The sequence below is a fragment of the Homo sapiens genome, chromosome 16 (genome assembly GCF_000001405.40).
Source record: "Homo sapiens chromosome 16, GRCh38.p14 Primary Assembly".
Taxonomy (NCBI): domain Eukaryota; kingdom Metazoa; phylum Chordata; class Mammalia; order Primates; family Hominidae; genus Homo; species Homo sapiens.
This window is the reverse complement of record NC_000016.10, coordinates 58,157,861-58,173,761: the sequence shown is the minus strand read 5'-3', so window position 1 is coordinate 58,173,761 and position 15,901 is coordinate 58,157,861. Positions and strand designations below refer to the sequence as shown.

The window sequence follows — 15,901 nt, the reverse complement described above, 5'->3', positions numbered from 1 at the left end:
GTAGGCATATTATAGAGAGACATGCCTACAGGGGTGGCAGGCATTTGCAGCCATCTTTCCTTGCCATGTGTCGTCATCCCCTTCTTGCATGAGTCTTCCTAACCTACCCCTGTAGCCGTGGCTCGTTAATGCAGGGAAAAGTGATGGGTAGAATGTCTAAGAGACTTACTAATCCCAAGCACAATGAAATTTGAAGAATTACTGGTTGGTGGAGGAATGATCATTTTGTTTGTCTAGATAAGCACTTAAAGGAATGCTCAGTTTGTAAAATGGAATACACCCATGGGTCCTAGATTTTTGTGTCCTGGATCACTAAGAACCTAATGAAAACTATGAACTGCCTCCAAAAATGCATGTATTAATATGCAGTCTTGTGAAAAGTTTTAGGGTAGTTGTAGATCTTAAGAACAGTTCTATGAAATGAATGTGTTTTTATAAGAACTTGTACGCACCACTTTTTATTAGAGAAAGCTGAGGTGGTGGATTTAAGGTTCACTCTTATGGCTAATGGGTCTTCCTTTTTGTCAGTAAGATCAGAAACACGAAAAAGGTCGAGCTTGATTTATCCCACGTTTCTCCATGTCTTCTCTAGACTAAAATTGAAGCATTGGTGTGGATAAAATTTGCAGTGCCATGATCCTGTGAACTGTCAGGCTAGCTCCTTTCCTGGAAGTGCTTCCTGAGTAATCCCATGCACTCTCACCCCATGAGAGCTACAATTCAGATCTCACAGTTGGTTATTTTTAAGTAAGATGGTTTGAGATTTTGTGTTATTTAACCATCAGCCAAAGCTAAAGTTGTATAAGCTAGCCTGCCCTTAGGTCCCATAAAGACATCCAACTAATGCAGGTCTTCCCAGGTGGACATGTGGGTGTCACTCAATGTCTGATGTCCTTTCTGCTTTCTGGAGGTAGCAGCTAGGCAGTGAGGACATATACTTATTTTTGCTAATGAGACGTAGAATCCCAGATGAAACTTGAAAAACGTCATTCATGCTTAATGGTCAGAAACTGTACGAGATTTTAAAACTGAAATAATTCCCCAAAGAATTTCAAAGCATGTCAGTAACTCCATAGGGAGTCCGACTAGGAAACTTGGCAAAAGAATTAATTACCTTACTGTATTTGTTCAGCCTTTGCTTTCATTGAGTATTTTTCACATGCCAGGTATTGTGGTCTTAATTAGTTTATTCCTTTGGACAAAGAGTAGGCAATATAGCAGAATCAACACTTGGTAAATTTTCTCTTTGAAAAGAAAAAACAGGAGTGGGGAAGACTAAATATTTAACTCCTTTGAAAATGTAGAAGCAACTGAGGCTGAGGGCTGCAGTGTGATGACTCGGTGACTTAACCTGATCTCCTGATTCAGATTCAAGGAGGTCTGCCCTCACAACCCCTGGTTTCATAAAGCACTGCCACAAAGGCACTTTGGAATCTTGCTACAGTTATTATAAAACAGAGGGAAAAAATTGAAGTAGAATGTAAGTGAAGTAAATAAATCTTAAACGTACAGTCTTTTGGATGTTTGTGTATGTAAAACTCTCACCCAGATTTACACAGGACGATGATATCCAGTATAGTTAGTAACCACTGCCCATAGGTAGCTATTTAAATTAAGTAAAATTCAAAATTTAGTTGCTGGCCAGACTCGGTGGCTCACGCCTATAAATCCCAATGCTTCGGGAGGCCAAGGCAGGTTGATTGCTTGAGCTCAGGAGTTCAAGACCAGCCTGGGCAACATGGCAAAGCCCCATAGCTACCAAAAAAAAAAAAAAAAAAAAAATATATATATATATATATATATGCATGCTCCAGGTGTAGTGGTACATGCCTATGGTTCCAGCTACTCAGGAGGTGGAGGTGGGAGGATCCACTTGAGCCTGTGAGGCAGAGGTTGCAGTGAGCTGAGATCATGCCACTGCACTCTAGCCTGGGCAACAGAGCAAGGCCCTGTACAAAAAAATAAAATAATAAAATAAAATTTAGTTCCCTAATCACACTAGGCACATTTCAGGTGCTCAGTGGCCTCATGTGGCTAGTGGCTACCGTATTATAGAGTGCAGGAATAGAATATTTCCATCATTGCAGAAGGTCCTATTGGACAGGGCTGGTAGAGGATATTGTGAACATCCTGCAGGGCTCTCTTGTGTTCTTCTGTTCAGTGTCTCCTCTGAAGATTATATCTTTATATGTATCCCCATAGTTAGTAGTGCCTGTTCTTGATCTTCAAATAACAAGCATTCTTTCTTTTTTTATCTGTCGCCCAGGCTGGAGTGCGGTGGCATGATCTCGGCTCACTGCAACCTCCACCTCCCGGGTTCAAGCAGTTCTCCCGCCTCGGCCTCCTGAGTAGTTGGGATTACAGGCACGCACCACCACACCTGGCTAATTTTTGTATTTTTAGTAGAAACGGGGTTTCACCCTGTTGGTCAGGCTGGTCTCAAAACTCCTGACCTCGTGATCTGCCCGCCTTGGCCCCCAAACTGCTGGGATTACAGGCGTGAGCCACCACGCCTGGCCATAACAAGCATTCTATATTGTATACTCTTGGTTCAGGGAAAAGCACAGATCGAGGGAGCTTATTCCTGGAATGCTAATCCTAGGGCTCATTCTCTGCCTTGTGTACTCCTCCAGCATGAAGAAGTCCATTCAAGTGTCCTCAAGAGTCTAGTTTATTGCTTCTTATCCAGGTCAAGCTTGTCCCCCAGGGGACATTGGGCAAAATCTGGAACCATTTTTGGTTGTTAAAACTGGAGGGGGGCTCTAGTGGTAGGTAGAGGACAGGGATTCTACTTGAAGAGTATTTCATTGACCTTGTGTAGGATTCAGGTGCTTGTTAAGATTAGCCAAAGGTCCTGAATTTGAAGTTTATGAAGATAGTTATTATGTTAGGCAAGGGAGATTTAGAAGCAAATTTTTACATTAAAAAAATGGAGCTTAACAATCTAATAAATGATTGAAAGATTTGAATCAGCATTTCTCCAAAGAAGATTTAGAATGGCCGGTAGACACATAAAAAGAAGTTCCACTTCATCACTCATTATGGAAATAAAAATCAAAACCACATGGAGATACCACTTTACACCCACCAGCAAAGCTATAATCAAAAAGTTGAACAATGACAGGTGTTGATGAGAATGTGGAGAAACTTGAACCCTCAGGTTGCTGGTGGGAGTAAAAGTGACGCAGCCACTTTGGAAGATAATTAGGCAGTTTCTTAAAAGTTTAAACACAAATTTAGCATACAACCCAGCACTTCCACCCCTAGGAATCTACCCAAGGGAAATGAAAGCATGAGTGGAAACAACCCAAATGTCCATCAGCTAGTAGTGGAATACTACTCAGCAAGGAAAAACAACTTGGATGAATCTCAGAAACAGTATACTGAAGGAAAGAAGGTAGACAAAGCACTATACATGTATGATTTCATATTATGAATGTACAGAAAAGGCAAATCTATACCAGCAAATAGCAGGTCAGTGGTTGTGGGCAGGGCACGGAGGGGTTGGGAGAAGTTAGGAAAGGGGATTGACTACAGACAAGCTCAAGAAAAATTTTAGGAGTGATGGAGATGTTCTAAAACTGGATTGTGGTAATGGTTGCACAGCTTTTTAAATTTGTGAAAAACCATTATATACATAAAATCTTATCTGCATATCAATCATCTTAAACAAAGCAATTTTCTCCCTTGGAATAATATGTAATGATAATTGTTTTTTTTTTGAGACCCGCTTTGTTGCCCAGGCTGAAGTGCAATGGTGCCATCTCGGCTCACTGCAACCTCCGCCTCTCAGGTTCAGGCAATTCTCGTGCCTTAGCCCCACAAGTAGCTGGGACTAGAGGTGCCCACCACCTTGCCTGGCTAATTTTTTGTATTTTTAGTAGAGGTGGAGTTTCGCCATGTTGGCCAGGCTGGTCTTGAACTCCTGACCTGAAGTGATCTGCCTGCCTCCGAAAGTTCTGGGATTACAGGCATGAGCACCATGCCTGGCCTTATAATGATAAGTCTTAAAGGCTAGCTGGCTCAGGGATTATATTAAGGAAAATACTAATACTTGGTCATCTAGAAAACCCACGTGGGACCCTTATGTACAAAATAAGCCATACTGAAAGATGTATTTGAATGTCATTCTTCATGTCCACATAGATGCTGGTCTGTCCTTTGAACCATTATGAGAGGTGACTCCAGTGAGGTTCCAAAGTCTGGTTTATCATCCCACACACACACCCCCCTCCCCACTGCCCGCCTTTCTTGCCCAGGCTGGAGTGCAGTGGCACCATCTCAGCTCACTGCAGCCTCCACCTCCCAGGTTCAAGCAGTTCTCCAGCCTCAGCCCAGTCGAGTGGCTGGGATTACAGGCACGCACCACCACGCCCAGCTAACTTTTGTATTTTTAGTATAGCCGTGTTGCCCAGGCTAGTCTCGAACTCCTGACCTCAAGTGATCCACCTGCCTCGGCCTCCCAAAGTGCTAGGATTACAGGCATGAGTCACTGTGCCTGGCCTCATCACCCCCTCTTTTAAAGAAATCTTCCTCGGCTGGGCACAGTGGCTCACACCTGTAATCCCAGTACCTTGGGAGGCCGAGGCTGGCGGATCACGAGGTCAGGAGATTGAAACCATCCTGGCTAACACGGTGAAACCCTGTCTCTACTAAAAATACAGAAAATTAGCTGGGCGTAGTGGCAGGCACTTGTAGTCCTAGCTACTCGGGAGGCTGAGGCAGGAGAAGGGCGTGAACCCGGGAGGCAGAGCTTGCAGTGAGCCGAGATTGCACCACTGCACTCCAGCCTGGGCGACAGAGCAAGACTCCATCTCAAAAAAAAAAAAAAGAAATCTTCCTCATAGCCCTTGCCATTCCCTTCATACCCCCTTTCTACCAGCTGTAGTGTGCAGAGAGAGCAAGGGGTGCCTTCTGAAGCACGCTTTTTTTCTCTTTCATTACAGGCAGCAAGCTGCCCGTTGGGGGACTGTATTCAAGTCAAGGTGTCACAAACAATAAGACTATGCTTGCGTTGGGGGATGGTAGAGGGGTTGCTTACTATTATCTGTGCTTTCTTACCTAATAGGCTCTGGATTACTGCCACAGCAAGGGAATCATGCACAGGGATGTGAAACCTCACAATGTCATGATAGATCACCAACAGAAAAAGGTACCATTACAGCCAGGCAGCAACAAGCTTGATTAAAAGGCTTAGAGCAGACCAAAAAGCTGTCCAGTGCCATGATGGTTTCTGTAGACCCGTGGTGGGTTTTTTGGCAAACTTTCGTTACTGTGATTTCTCCCATCTCCATTGTTGATTTCTACTTTGTATAGTGTAGTACACAAGGAAAGTAGACGGTTTAACTATAGTAACTAACTATAGTCACTTGTTTATTTTGGTCATAGTTTTCTGGAGGGCCTCAGAAAGAAATTACAGCTGGTGGTTTCTGCTTCATTTCTTGATGACCCGCAGACCAATCTGCCTGGCCTTAAAAGAACACTTGGGTCCCTCCTATTTTTGATATCCAACTCTGTTGGCCCTAATCAGTGAGTAAATGGATCATCTAGTATTAGACGAATAAATCATTAGAGCAATGCTTCAGTCCTGGAGTGGGATGTGTGTCCCCAGCCCTTTCACTGACGCCTGGAGCTTATAACGAAAAGCTATGAATGATGGGAGAATGTGTTACCAAGTGTAACTGCCTACAGTTTCTGAATGTGGGCAGAAAAAAAGGTTGAGCTCTGTTGATCTAGAGAGAGGGATGAACCAGGATAATTTAAAATTTTTTCAAAAAGCATTTCAAGTGTTCTGCTCTAAAAATGACCTCTTGCACGATTGCTGAAAATGTAATTTTTAAGCCAGTGCACCTGCTCACATTTTTTGTGTGGCCAAATGATTGTTACCTAATGTGATGTGGCCTTGTTCTAAGGCATAGGCGTCTAGAAACACTCCTTTCACATGTTTTTTTCTGTCCTATTTGTAGCTGCGACTGATAGATTGGGGTCTGGCAGAATTCTATCATCCTGCTCAGGAGTACAATGTTCGTGTAGCCTCAAGGTACTTCAAGGGACCAGAGCTCCTCGTGGACTATCAGGTAAACTTGTTAGCAGAGCTATTCTGGGTTATTTATACTTGCTTAGGGCTTTTCTGGTTTGCTGTTGATCTAGTCAGTTTGAATACACTCAAAACCCAGCCATTATTTCACCCTAAAATGCTGATTTTAGTTTTTTCTCAGCTAGTTTTTTGGGGGGACAGAGAAGTTTTTAAATCTAAAATATCTGCAAAGGTTAAATGAAGACTAGAAATTCAGATCATTTCTAGGAGCCAGGAAGTTAAAAAAAATTTTTTTTAAATAAATTATCTATGGCCATACCACCCTGAACACGCCCAATCTCGTCTAAAAAAGAAATTTATATCAGAAAAATGGATTTCTAATACCCTTGGCTAATGCGTTGTCCTTATTGCCTCAGATGTATGATTATAGCTTGGACATGTGGAGTTTGGGCTGTATGTTAGCAAGCATGATCTTTCGAAGGGAACCATTCTTCCATGGACAGGACAACTATGACCAGGTGAGCAAATGCTTTCTGGTTCTTATTTATTTGGGGGTGAATGCCAAAAAAATAGCATCCTTAGATAAGAATACTATCCTTGAGCCACTAAGTATCACTCAGTGTCTGCATATGAGCTTTTCTTCAAGATAAAGATCGCACAGAATTTTGTGTTTACCAGGTCCGCAGAAGTAGAGGCAGATAATGCCATCTATGCCAAACTTCCAAAGTGAATCTGTGAAGAAGTCAGGCACCTCCTTGTCTAATAAAACTAGATTTTAGTCATTAGATTGTGATGCCCTGTACTGGTCCACCTCTAGAAGATTATTATCGTAAGTTGTATTATTTTAAAGGCCGTTTGGAAATTTGCATTCATGTGAACTTCTTGTCCTTGGGTCTGTCTGCCTGCCCTGGACCTGGGTTTGTATCTCGTTCCTAGAGGTTTAGTGGTGTGGAAGTCTTCTGATTCCTTGGTGCAGTGTCCTCACGGGCTCATGGTGTGTTCTGTGCTCAGTGATTTGGTCAGTTTGTTTTGTGTTTCAGCTTGTTCGCATTGCCAAGGTTCTGGGTACAGAAGAACTGTATGGGTATCTGAAGAAGTATCACATAGACCTAGATCCACACTTCAACGATATCCTGGGACAGTAAGTAAGAGAGAGAGAGAGAGTGCTTTACCTTACCCCGTTTCAGAAGTGGAAAGGTTAGCCAAAATCACTTTCTTTTCCCATTCTGATTATAGTAAAATGGAAGTAGCCCTCTTTTTTCCTATGCATATTTTCTTTTAACTTATTGAGATATTTGGACTTTATGTCTTTTAATCATTTTACTTCTCTGAGAGATAACCTATTAATAGAAAAGGTAAAACAAAAATCATAATGTTATAGAAAAAAGTTTTCTGGTACAGCAAAAGCTTATTTTTAATGGCCAAACTTGGAGAGCAATGATTCTTTGAATAAGAGACTTAGTTTGTTTTTTATTATATTTTATTTTATTTACTTCATATCTCTTCAAGGTGGACTTACAATTTCTTCTTGTTCTCTGTAATGGATTTTCTATACAATAGCAAATTTTAAAGCACATTGAGTTTTCAGGTACATTGCAATAATGTTGAGAAGTAAACATTTTGTTAACAGTTTTCAAACAGTATTTTATGGAACCTCCCTGTTTCTGAGGCTAGCCCTGGGAAATATATCTGCTGACCAATAAAAATTGCCCACTCTTCTGCATGCCACCCAGAATTGACTAAAAGTCTACAGCATAAAAAATAATCTAGAAAGGTTCCACATATTCTAAATGAGATATAGAAGTTTTACCTAGTTGTATTTTTCTAATCACAGAGCACCATTGTGTTTCAGGATGCTATGCTGTAACTATGGGGCCGTAGGGCAGGCACCAGTTAGAGATTTAACAAGCTTGTAATCAGTACATTATTCTGAGATTTTGTTGGCTTTAGCCCTAGTAGATAAGGATTCTTGTTGAATTTAGTCTCTGGTTACTAATGCTTCATTTTTCTTCTCAGACATTCACGGAAACGCTGGGAAAACTTTATCCATAGTGAGAACAGACACCTTGTCAGCCCTGAGGCCCTAGATCTTCTGGACAAACTTCTGCGATACGACCATCAACAGAGACTGACTGCCAAAGAGGCCATGGAGCACCCATACTTCTGTGAGTCTCCAGGGACTGTGTTCAGGGAGTAATTCAGTCAAGAGAACAAATCTTCCACTCTTTGTCTTTGAGACCAGTCAGGAGAATTCTAGGGTATTTGGATTGGATTATTCCTAGAATTTGGCCTCATTTATCGTAGATGATTGAGACAACTTTGCAGATCCGTTTCTTGATCACCAAAGGTGTTTGCTTATTCACTGAATGTATCTCCCCGGAGTTCAAGCTGTTTGACTACTCCCTGTTACCCTGAGTTAATAGATCGCAAGTTTCTAAAATTTCTTTTTAAACATACATATATTTGTGTGGAAACCTAATTGAAGATTATTTCTCCCCTCAGAAAACTAGTAATTAGTTAAAAGTAGTAAGATAACTATTGTATGTTTTGAAAGAAGGAGATGAACAGATGGATGGACGAAAGGAATTTGAGGAAAGGGAAGTAAGTGTGGAGAGGCCTCACTGAAATCTTGACTGAACTGCTCACTTAGAAGTGTGTGTGGATTCACTTTGCGTGTTTGCTTATTCTTCTGCATGTGTATGGTTCTTTCCTCTGATAACGTGTGTTTCAAATAAACTTCCTCCTATTATCAGTCTCCTTCCTGGGGAGCAGGGAGGTTGAGAGACTTACCTCAGTCGCTTTCTGAATCAAGAGGGAAACGTTCACCCCTTAAAGTCGTTGTCTCTGGCTTAACAAACATGCTGTCTTTCCCTCTCCTTTGATTTCCTCTGGAGATGAACTAAATTCTTGCCTGAAGAATGTGTCGCTGTAGTCTTGAGCCTGTGGCCCATATGCATAAGGGAGACCGCAAATGGAAAAGCCTTCAGCCTTCTAGACCTCAGCCCCAGGAAACTCAGATGTCCCCGCCCCAGTGTCTGGCACAGAAAGCTGTTTTTACCCGAGTTAGATCAAATTAGGAATACTGATGTTTATGACATGTCATTAATGATCTTTCTGCTTTTCTGAATATATGTCATACTTCAATTTAAAAAATTTCAAACTACGGTTGCTTAAAATGGATAGGTCTTCTGATGGCTCTTTTTACTCACCTTTCCTTTGAAGTGCTTGTTATTCTACATGCTTTGAAGAAATTAGGGGTTAGAGATGATATTAATATTGAAAGAAAATAAATGTAGAAATTTGAACAGTGGGAAATTAGAGTTTCTATGCCTCTTAGCATTGAGTCTGTACTCCGAGGAAGGGTAAGAGTTGACTGCAATAACAATTTCCCTGATCATTTTTCAGTGTTTGGTTTTTATATGGCTGGAATTCCGTGATTTCCGTCTCTCCTGTTGCCCCCCTGACCCTGGCTTGCCCATCAGTCTGTCTCTCTTTCCGTTGAAAGGGTGGGTTTGCCATGGGCTTCTCTCAGCACTCACCACCCTGATTGCCTGACTTTCCTCCTGCTTTCTTGCAGACCCTGTGGTGAAGGAGCAGTCCCAGCCTTGTGCAGACAATGCTGTGCTTTCCAGTGGTCTCACGGCAGCACGATGAAGACTGGAAAGCGACGGGTAATGCGGCATTGATGCTTGCCAATAAAACCAACCAACCAAACACAAACCTTGAAGGAAAACTACAGTGTGATAAAAAGAAATTCTTATCATTCCTTCTAAATGCACAGAAGAGTAAAGACCTAAAAGTCTGTCAAAAAGCAAGAAAGAAACTCCCCAGTGCTAGTCTCCAGGGAGCTGTCACTGTGGCAGCATGGGGATGCACCTAGTTCAGGATCTGAAGGAGCTCTGCCTTTGGAATGCATGGGAGATAGAGACTCGGAGTTGTTGTACATTTACCTTTGTTTAACAGGGCACCACTGTTGAATTAACCCATTCAGTCAACAAGCTCTGAATGTCTGACTTCCTATCTATTCCATTGTGGTCTGGGTTTCCTTTGGTGAAATTCAGGCTCAAGTCTTAGCGAAATGTCAGCAGTCTATACTGACACACCAGCCTCATTTACAAAAAGGAGATATTAAAACAGTGACAGTATTTTTTTTTTAAGCTCTTTACAAATCCACGTTTTATGTATTTTTTAATGACATGAGCTCTCCAGGAAATGTACCTCATCCCCGCAGTTTTCCTCCAAGTGGATTCATTTGGGAGCAAACTGCAGTCACTTTCACAAGAGTCCTCTTTGATGTCAGGAGGGATCACGAAACCTTGCAATGCCATGAACTGGTCCATGGTTATCATCAAAAGTTCCATGCTAAGTGCATAACTTGGAGCTCACTATAACCTTTGTTGATTTCCCTAACCATAAAATCTTGTTGCTATTTTTTTGTTGCTTTTTCTTTTTTTTTTTTTTTTTTTTTTTTGGCAGCCTTGTAAGGAGAACTTCACCATTTCCCAGCACATCCCTATGTGTGCGCCTATTTTAATGCACCTCTCTGAAACAGAGACCTTTTTGTTCACAACCATAACTAAAGCTGGAAAGTCAGTCTTCAGGCAAGGCGAGGGAGGAAAACATCCCATTAGAATTTTTTCAGGAAAGACTTATGGAAAAAAATATCTCTCTCCCACCTCCTTTTATCCCCATGAGACACAGTTTCCCACTGTAATCAGGGTAATATGCATTTGTAAGTTCTGATATGTGATACATTTATGTGATGGCAAAGATAAGTCTGTCTTGCATGCAGGTACTAGAGTTGTGTGGGCAGGGTCATCTGAAACTCAAGCAACTCAGAGGAATATACAAGGGGCTTGGGGAAGAAAATGGTGCTCCCGGAGCAAGTGTTGGATCCATTTTGCAAACCTTCATGTTAGCAGAGAAAGCTAGAGTTTGTTTAAACAAAAATAGGGCTGATTTCATTTTGGGGACTCAGGAGCAACATGGTTTGTAGGCAGTCCCCTCACCCCAGCTGCAGGGCCATGCCACAGCTGTGGGGACTTCACACACCTAGGCTAGAACTAGAGGTGTCTACCACATCACCCTTTAAGATTTCTTTATTAACTATTTAATAATGCCATACATTTTTATAAGGTTAGATGTTTGTTTGAAACATTTGTTTACATTCCATATTCCAATAAAATCTTATTGGTATTGGTAGCAGATCCTACTCTAAATGTAGATTCTATTTTTGTCGTTTGGTCTGTGGGAACTTAAAATACAAATGAAACTCTTCTCTTATTATAGAGTTGAGTTTATAGAGTAAAAAATAAATAAGATCCCAAAGCCAAGGAATGCATTCAGTTAAGGTTCTCATACCAATGCTGCCTGCTTGCATTGCACATTCTGTATACTAATGTAAACATTTGTTCTACCTGAAAATCAAAAGCAAGATGTGAGCTCTTTGGCTAAACCTGTATTGATATGTCAGGCAGCAAAACTCAGTGTTTGAGATTATCAAAAGCCTTCTAATATGCCCTTATAGGCAATCCTGAAGCATTGGTTATCATCAGGGAGATGTGCCACTGCGTGTCTTTCCTGCTCCCCCTCCAATCTCCTTTATCACCCCACCCCACTCCTCAGCCCTCCCTTTTTTTTTTTAAGTTGCCTGTCTGGACCAGGCAAGAGGTGCCTACTGGAGGGTCTTGGTGAAGCGGTAACTCCATTCCTTTCCCTTGGGTCCCCCAAAGGTAATAAAAGTACCTGGAGGAGAATAGTCAGGTGATTGACCTCTGCCTGTCTCTCTGACGGTGATGTAGGTGCAGACACCGCCTGCCTGCCTTGTCCTGGGGTTTTGTAACTGCAGCTTTGACACAGGCATTCTTCCTTTGAAGCACACAGCTTGCTTTTCCAGCACCTAGACTTTTACCTCTCTTCATGCCTTAGACTTAGACCATAACTGGGCTTGAAATGCTCACCCCTTCCTGGGTCTGGTCTTGGCACCTAGGCTATTCCTTTCCAAACTGAAGTGAGTCCAGTTTCAGACCATCTCTTTTCCTGTCTCCAAAAACCATTTTTGTTTCCAAACCTAGCTCCCCCGAAATTTTAAGACTATTTACCTAGATTCGGAGATGGTCTTGGAGAGTTCCAAAAGGGGTGTGTGTGTGTCTGTGTGTGTGTCTGTGTGTGTGTCTGTGTGTGTGTCTGTGTGTGTGTCTGTGTGTCTAATATTTAGACTAAACCATGGTAAATGTACGCACCCAGTATCCTTTTCAGTTAGCATATTCTTTCTTAAACTCATCTCAGTACTTTTCATTTGTTTGCTTCATTATCTTAAACAGGTTAAAAGTGCCTATGATAAGGACTTAATTATTTCCTAAAGAAAAGCAAAAAATGTGGGGAACAGGGTAGTGTTATACTATCATCTCAGGTACTGCCTATGTTCAAGAACATAGACCTGGTATGGTGAGAACAAAAGGTTCCTATGCCAAATCCAGATGGCTATATCATTTGTTGGCTACAAGTGAGCCTGACTGCAAGGTTTGCTTCTGCTGAGAAATCCCATGGTGAGAGTAGAACTCATGAAGTGCTGAGTCACATTTGCACCTCTGGTGTGGTGGCAGTTCACTCTCCCCTGGATGCTGTCAGCTGGCCTTGCTTTCATCCTATCCCTGTAGGCAGGGTAGGTGGCTGGGTAGGAGAAGCTATTGAGTGTATGACGCAGACCAAGCTTTCCTGGGCCTTCTCACCAACTAGAGAAGCGCTGATGTCGTTCATTGAGGCACTTAAACACCAGTCACTCAGCCAGGCCTCCTCCCAGACATTCTGTAACATGTCAGCACTCACAAGGTTTAAAGCAAATGTGTTCCCTTGCAGAGAGGAAGGTGCTCTCAGACTGATAGATTAGAGGAGACAGACAAACTCGTAATCCTTGGGGACTTGAAGAGAGTGGCTAGGGGAAGGGCTGTTAAAAGAAAAGGGACCAATAAGAAAATCCATCTAAAGGTAGCTCTTGAGGAGGAAATTAACTTCTTGAGGGGATAAATTAGAGGGTACCAAGTTTATGTTCTGGAATGTACCCTGGGGAGGGCGCTGCCCACTGGATTGGTCCCAGTGGACTGAAAGGTGGTGCTCTCGAGTCAGGCGCTTAGTCCCAGAGAGAGCTGGGTGCCGCGGGGCTCGTGGTCTGTGCCTACTCAGGGAAATGACTTAGGTTCTCCCAGGTGCTCTGTTGATAAGGATGGAAGCAGAACTACTTTGAGACACAAGCAACAATTGGAAGAGTTTTTTTATATGAACTGAAATAGATCTAAGAGAGCCTGGTTAACAGTTTCCTTTAATACCAGTTCAGATTAAATGGTTACTTTAGGAACCTGTGTTACTGTGTGAGCACCCACAGAAACAAGCAAACTTATTTCCTACAAAAAATGAGGGGATAATAACCGATCAGAGTCACAGTCGTTTCAATATAAACCCTTCCGAAAGCAAAAGCAGGGACCACATGAGCACACAAGAAGCCAAAGTTTGTCAGTGATCTTAATAAATTAAGACTGAGTAACATCCTGCCTTTAGAAAAAAATAACCCCGAGGTGGAGACCAGGGCAGGGGAGGTGGCGGAGAAGCATCGGGCCAGATCAACCGTTAATAACATGCTTCTGAGCTATGTGGATGTATAAATGAAAACACCCCCAACTAGGTATTGTAGAGGCTGGAAAAAGATGTGATGGGATTATACAGGTGATGCATATTTTTGTTTTGAGACTCAACAATGTGCTACAAATGTGATACTTAACCCTGAACTGCATGTATTGGGGATTGTTTTTTAAAAAGAAAAAAAACAACTTTGAATCAATAAATTAACAGTTTTTCACTTGCTGGCTCTTCTTGCTGTAAATGGTGACTAAGAGGTTGGGACAGAAATCTTGACAACTAGTGGAAAACTTGGATAATCTTCAAGGACCATGGAGCCTTCTGTTTCCTTCTGTTTGCAGAAAAGCAACACTGCCTGGGTTGTGATCCTTTACAAGTGACTACTTCAGACACAATTGGCCACCTCTTTGTATCACTGGATGACTGATGTATGATTTATGTGCTGCTGCCCTTAGAGGGAAGAAAAATGCCATGTTAAATCCTGTTTTCTTAAATAAAAATGTTGACAATAACCAGCCTTCCCAAGTGGGAGACAAACCATTGCTATGAGGACCTTAACTTGTATTTCCTGTCTCTTTGGGGGAGAGGGGAGGGATAAACCTTGAATTGCAAAGATGTGTGTTACACCTTGATGTGAAAACTTTCCTTTGGCAGAAGTGGGGCTAGAGTGGTGTCCTGTTGGGAGTGTTCCGTTTTTATGTACTTGCTTCTGAGTCGCGCCACTCAGACACCTGCCTCTTGGGATTGACTGTTTTAGTGCATGACTTTAACCTTGTGGCCTGGTGCTCTGCATTTGTGAAACACTCTCCCTAGCCCCATTCCTTGCAGCACATGCTATTATTTGGCAGGTGGTGGTATCTTTAATTAATGTGCTTTCTTTAATTAGTGTGCTTTCTTCTCACTGAGCCTCTGAAGTTGGGTGCTTGGAATCAGCTGAAGTGTTTAAAGGCAAATATAGTCATTTCTTTCTTAACCTCATGCACCATGCAGCCCTTCTCAAATCAAATACTACGCAGTGGAACCCTTCCTTTACCCAAAGAAAGTTTTCATGAAATGATTTTGTGTGTGTGACAGCTTCCCAGGTGCATAGTCCTTCCTCAGTACTGTAGTGCTGTTCTGGGAGGCACTGCTTCTAGAATTCCACTGCCGGCATCTCACCACCCACTTGCTATGCTGGACCTGGAAGGAGAAATGAGGTTTTCAGGCCATGCCAGGCAGCTAGCTGTTTCCAGGGGAGAGTTAAAAATATTTGAGCTCACTTACTGCTCTTTGTTTATTAGTGGACTCAGCCCTTTTTCTGAGTAAATACAGACCCCGTCTTAGTCCTAAGACACCTCAGATAATCAGGTCAGGTCTGAGGGGGACCTAGAGCTGACTGCTGAATTTGTAGCTTGACTGGCACAGAATGGTCAAGAGGCTCTGAGGCTTCTCCATCAGCACCCTGGACCCGAGGGATGGGGTAGAGTGGAAGACCTGGTCACAACACACGTGGTGCCCAGAGCACCCGTCCTGTGACAGAAGGCCGTGCTAGAGACCATCTCTGTCATGATAATCAGAAGAGGAAGGCAGAGGGTACTGTTGGAAACCTGAACTCAGCGAGTTCTCACAGGGTTCTCCACCAAGTGGCATGGGAGGGCCGAGCTTGCATTCTAGCACAGGCCCTCCTACACGTGGAGGCCTCCCCTCGCCCGCTCAGGTTGATTAATGACGTCTTTCCCTCCTCCCGTCTCTTTCCCCAGGTCTGTTGCGGTTCTCCCACTTTTCCATAAGCAGAACAAGAACCAAATCAAACGTCTTAACGCGTATAGAGAGATCACGTTCCGTGAGCAGACACAAAACGGTGGCAGGTTTGGCGAGCACGAACTAGACCAAGCGAAGGGCAGCCCACCACCGTATATCAAACCTCACTTCCGAATGTAAAAGGCTCACTTGCCTTTGGCTTCCTGTTGACTTCTTCCCGACCCAGAAAGCATGGGGAATGTGAAGGGTATGCAGAATGTTGTTGGTTACTGTTGCTCCCCGAGCCCCTCGACTCGTCCCGTGGCCGCCTGTTTTTCCAGCAAACCACGCTAACTAGCTGACCACAGACTCCACAGTGGGGGGACGGGCGCAGTATGTGGCATGGCGGCAGTTACATATTATTATTTTAAAAGTATATATTATTGAATAAAAGGTTTTAAAAGAAACGTATGGAGAGTTTTCAGTATGGAAAGGGCCGTGAACTGAGGCCTG

At 42.8% G+C, this 15,901-nt stretch overlaps 1 protein-coding gene and 1 long non-coding RNA gene across 8 annotated transcripts in view; one reads left to right on the top strand and one right to left on the bottom strand.

Annotated features, from left to right (window-relative positions):
• The window catches only part of CSNK2A2 (casein kinase 2 alpha 2), a 40,200-nt gene extending 24,345 nt beyond the window's left edge, over window positions 1–15,855 (top strand). For 2 of the 4 annotated variants that reach the window (NM_001896.4, XM_005255801.4), the window contains 7 exons: window positions 5,069–5,152; window positions 5,967–6,077; window positions 6,454–6,555; window positions 7,078–7,178; window positions 8,054–8,202; window positions 9,615–9,708; window positions 15,409–15,855. In NM_001896.4, coding sequence (NP_001887.1) covers window positions 5,069–5,152; window positions 5,967–6,077; window positions 6,454–6,555; window positions 7,078–7,178; window positions 8,054–8,202; window positions 9,615–9,691 — 624 coding nt within the window. In that variant the 3' untranslated portion in view covers window positions 9,692–9,708; window positions 15,409–15,855. Of the gene's footprint in view, window positions 1–2,475; window positions 3,398–5,068; window positions 5,153–5,966; window positions 6,078–6,453; window positions 6,556–7,077; window positions 7,179–8,053; window positions 8,203–9,614 lie in introns of those variants that run through there. The other 2 variants (XM_017022945.2, XM_047433626.1) reach the window with 2 other exon arrangements.
• LOC101927556 (uncharacterized) overlaps window positions 13,338–15,901 on the bottom strand; it is a 31,541-nt gene continuing 28,977 nt past the window's right edge. For all 4 annotated transcript variants that reach the window (NR_188514.1, NR_188516.1, NR_188515.1 and 1 more), the window contains one exon: window positions 13,338–14,848. This is a non-coding gene — a long non-coding RNA (uncharacterized LOC101927556). The remainder of the gene's footprint in view (window positions 14,849–15,901) is intronic.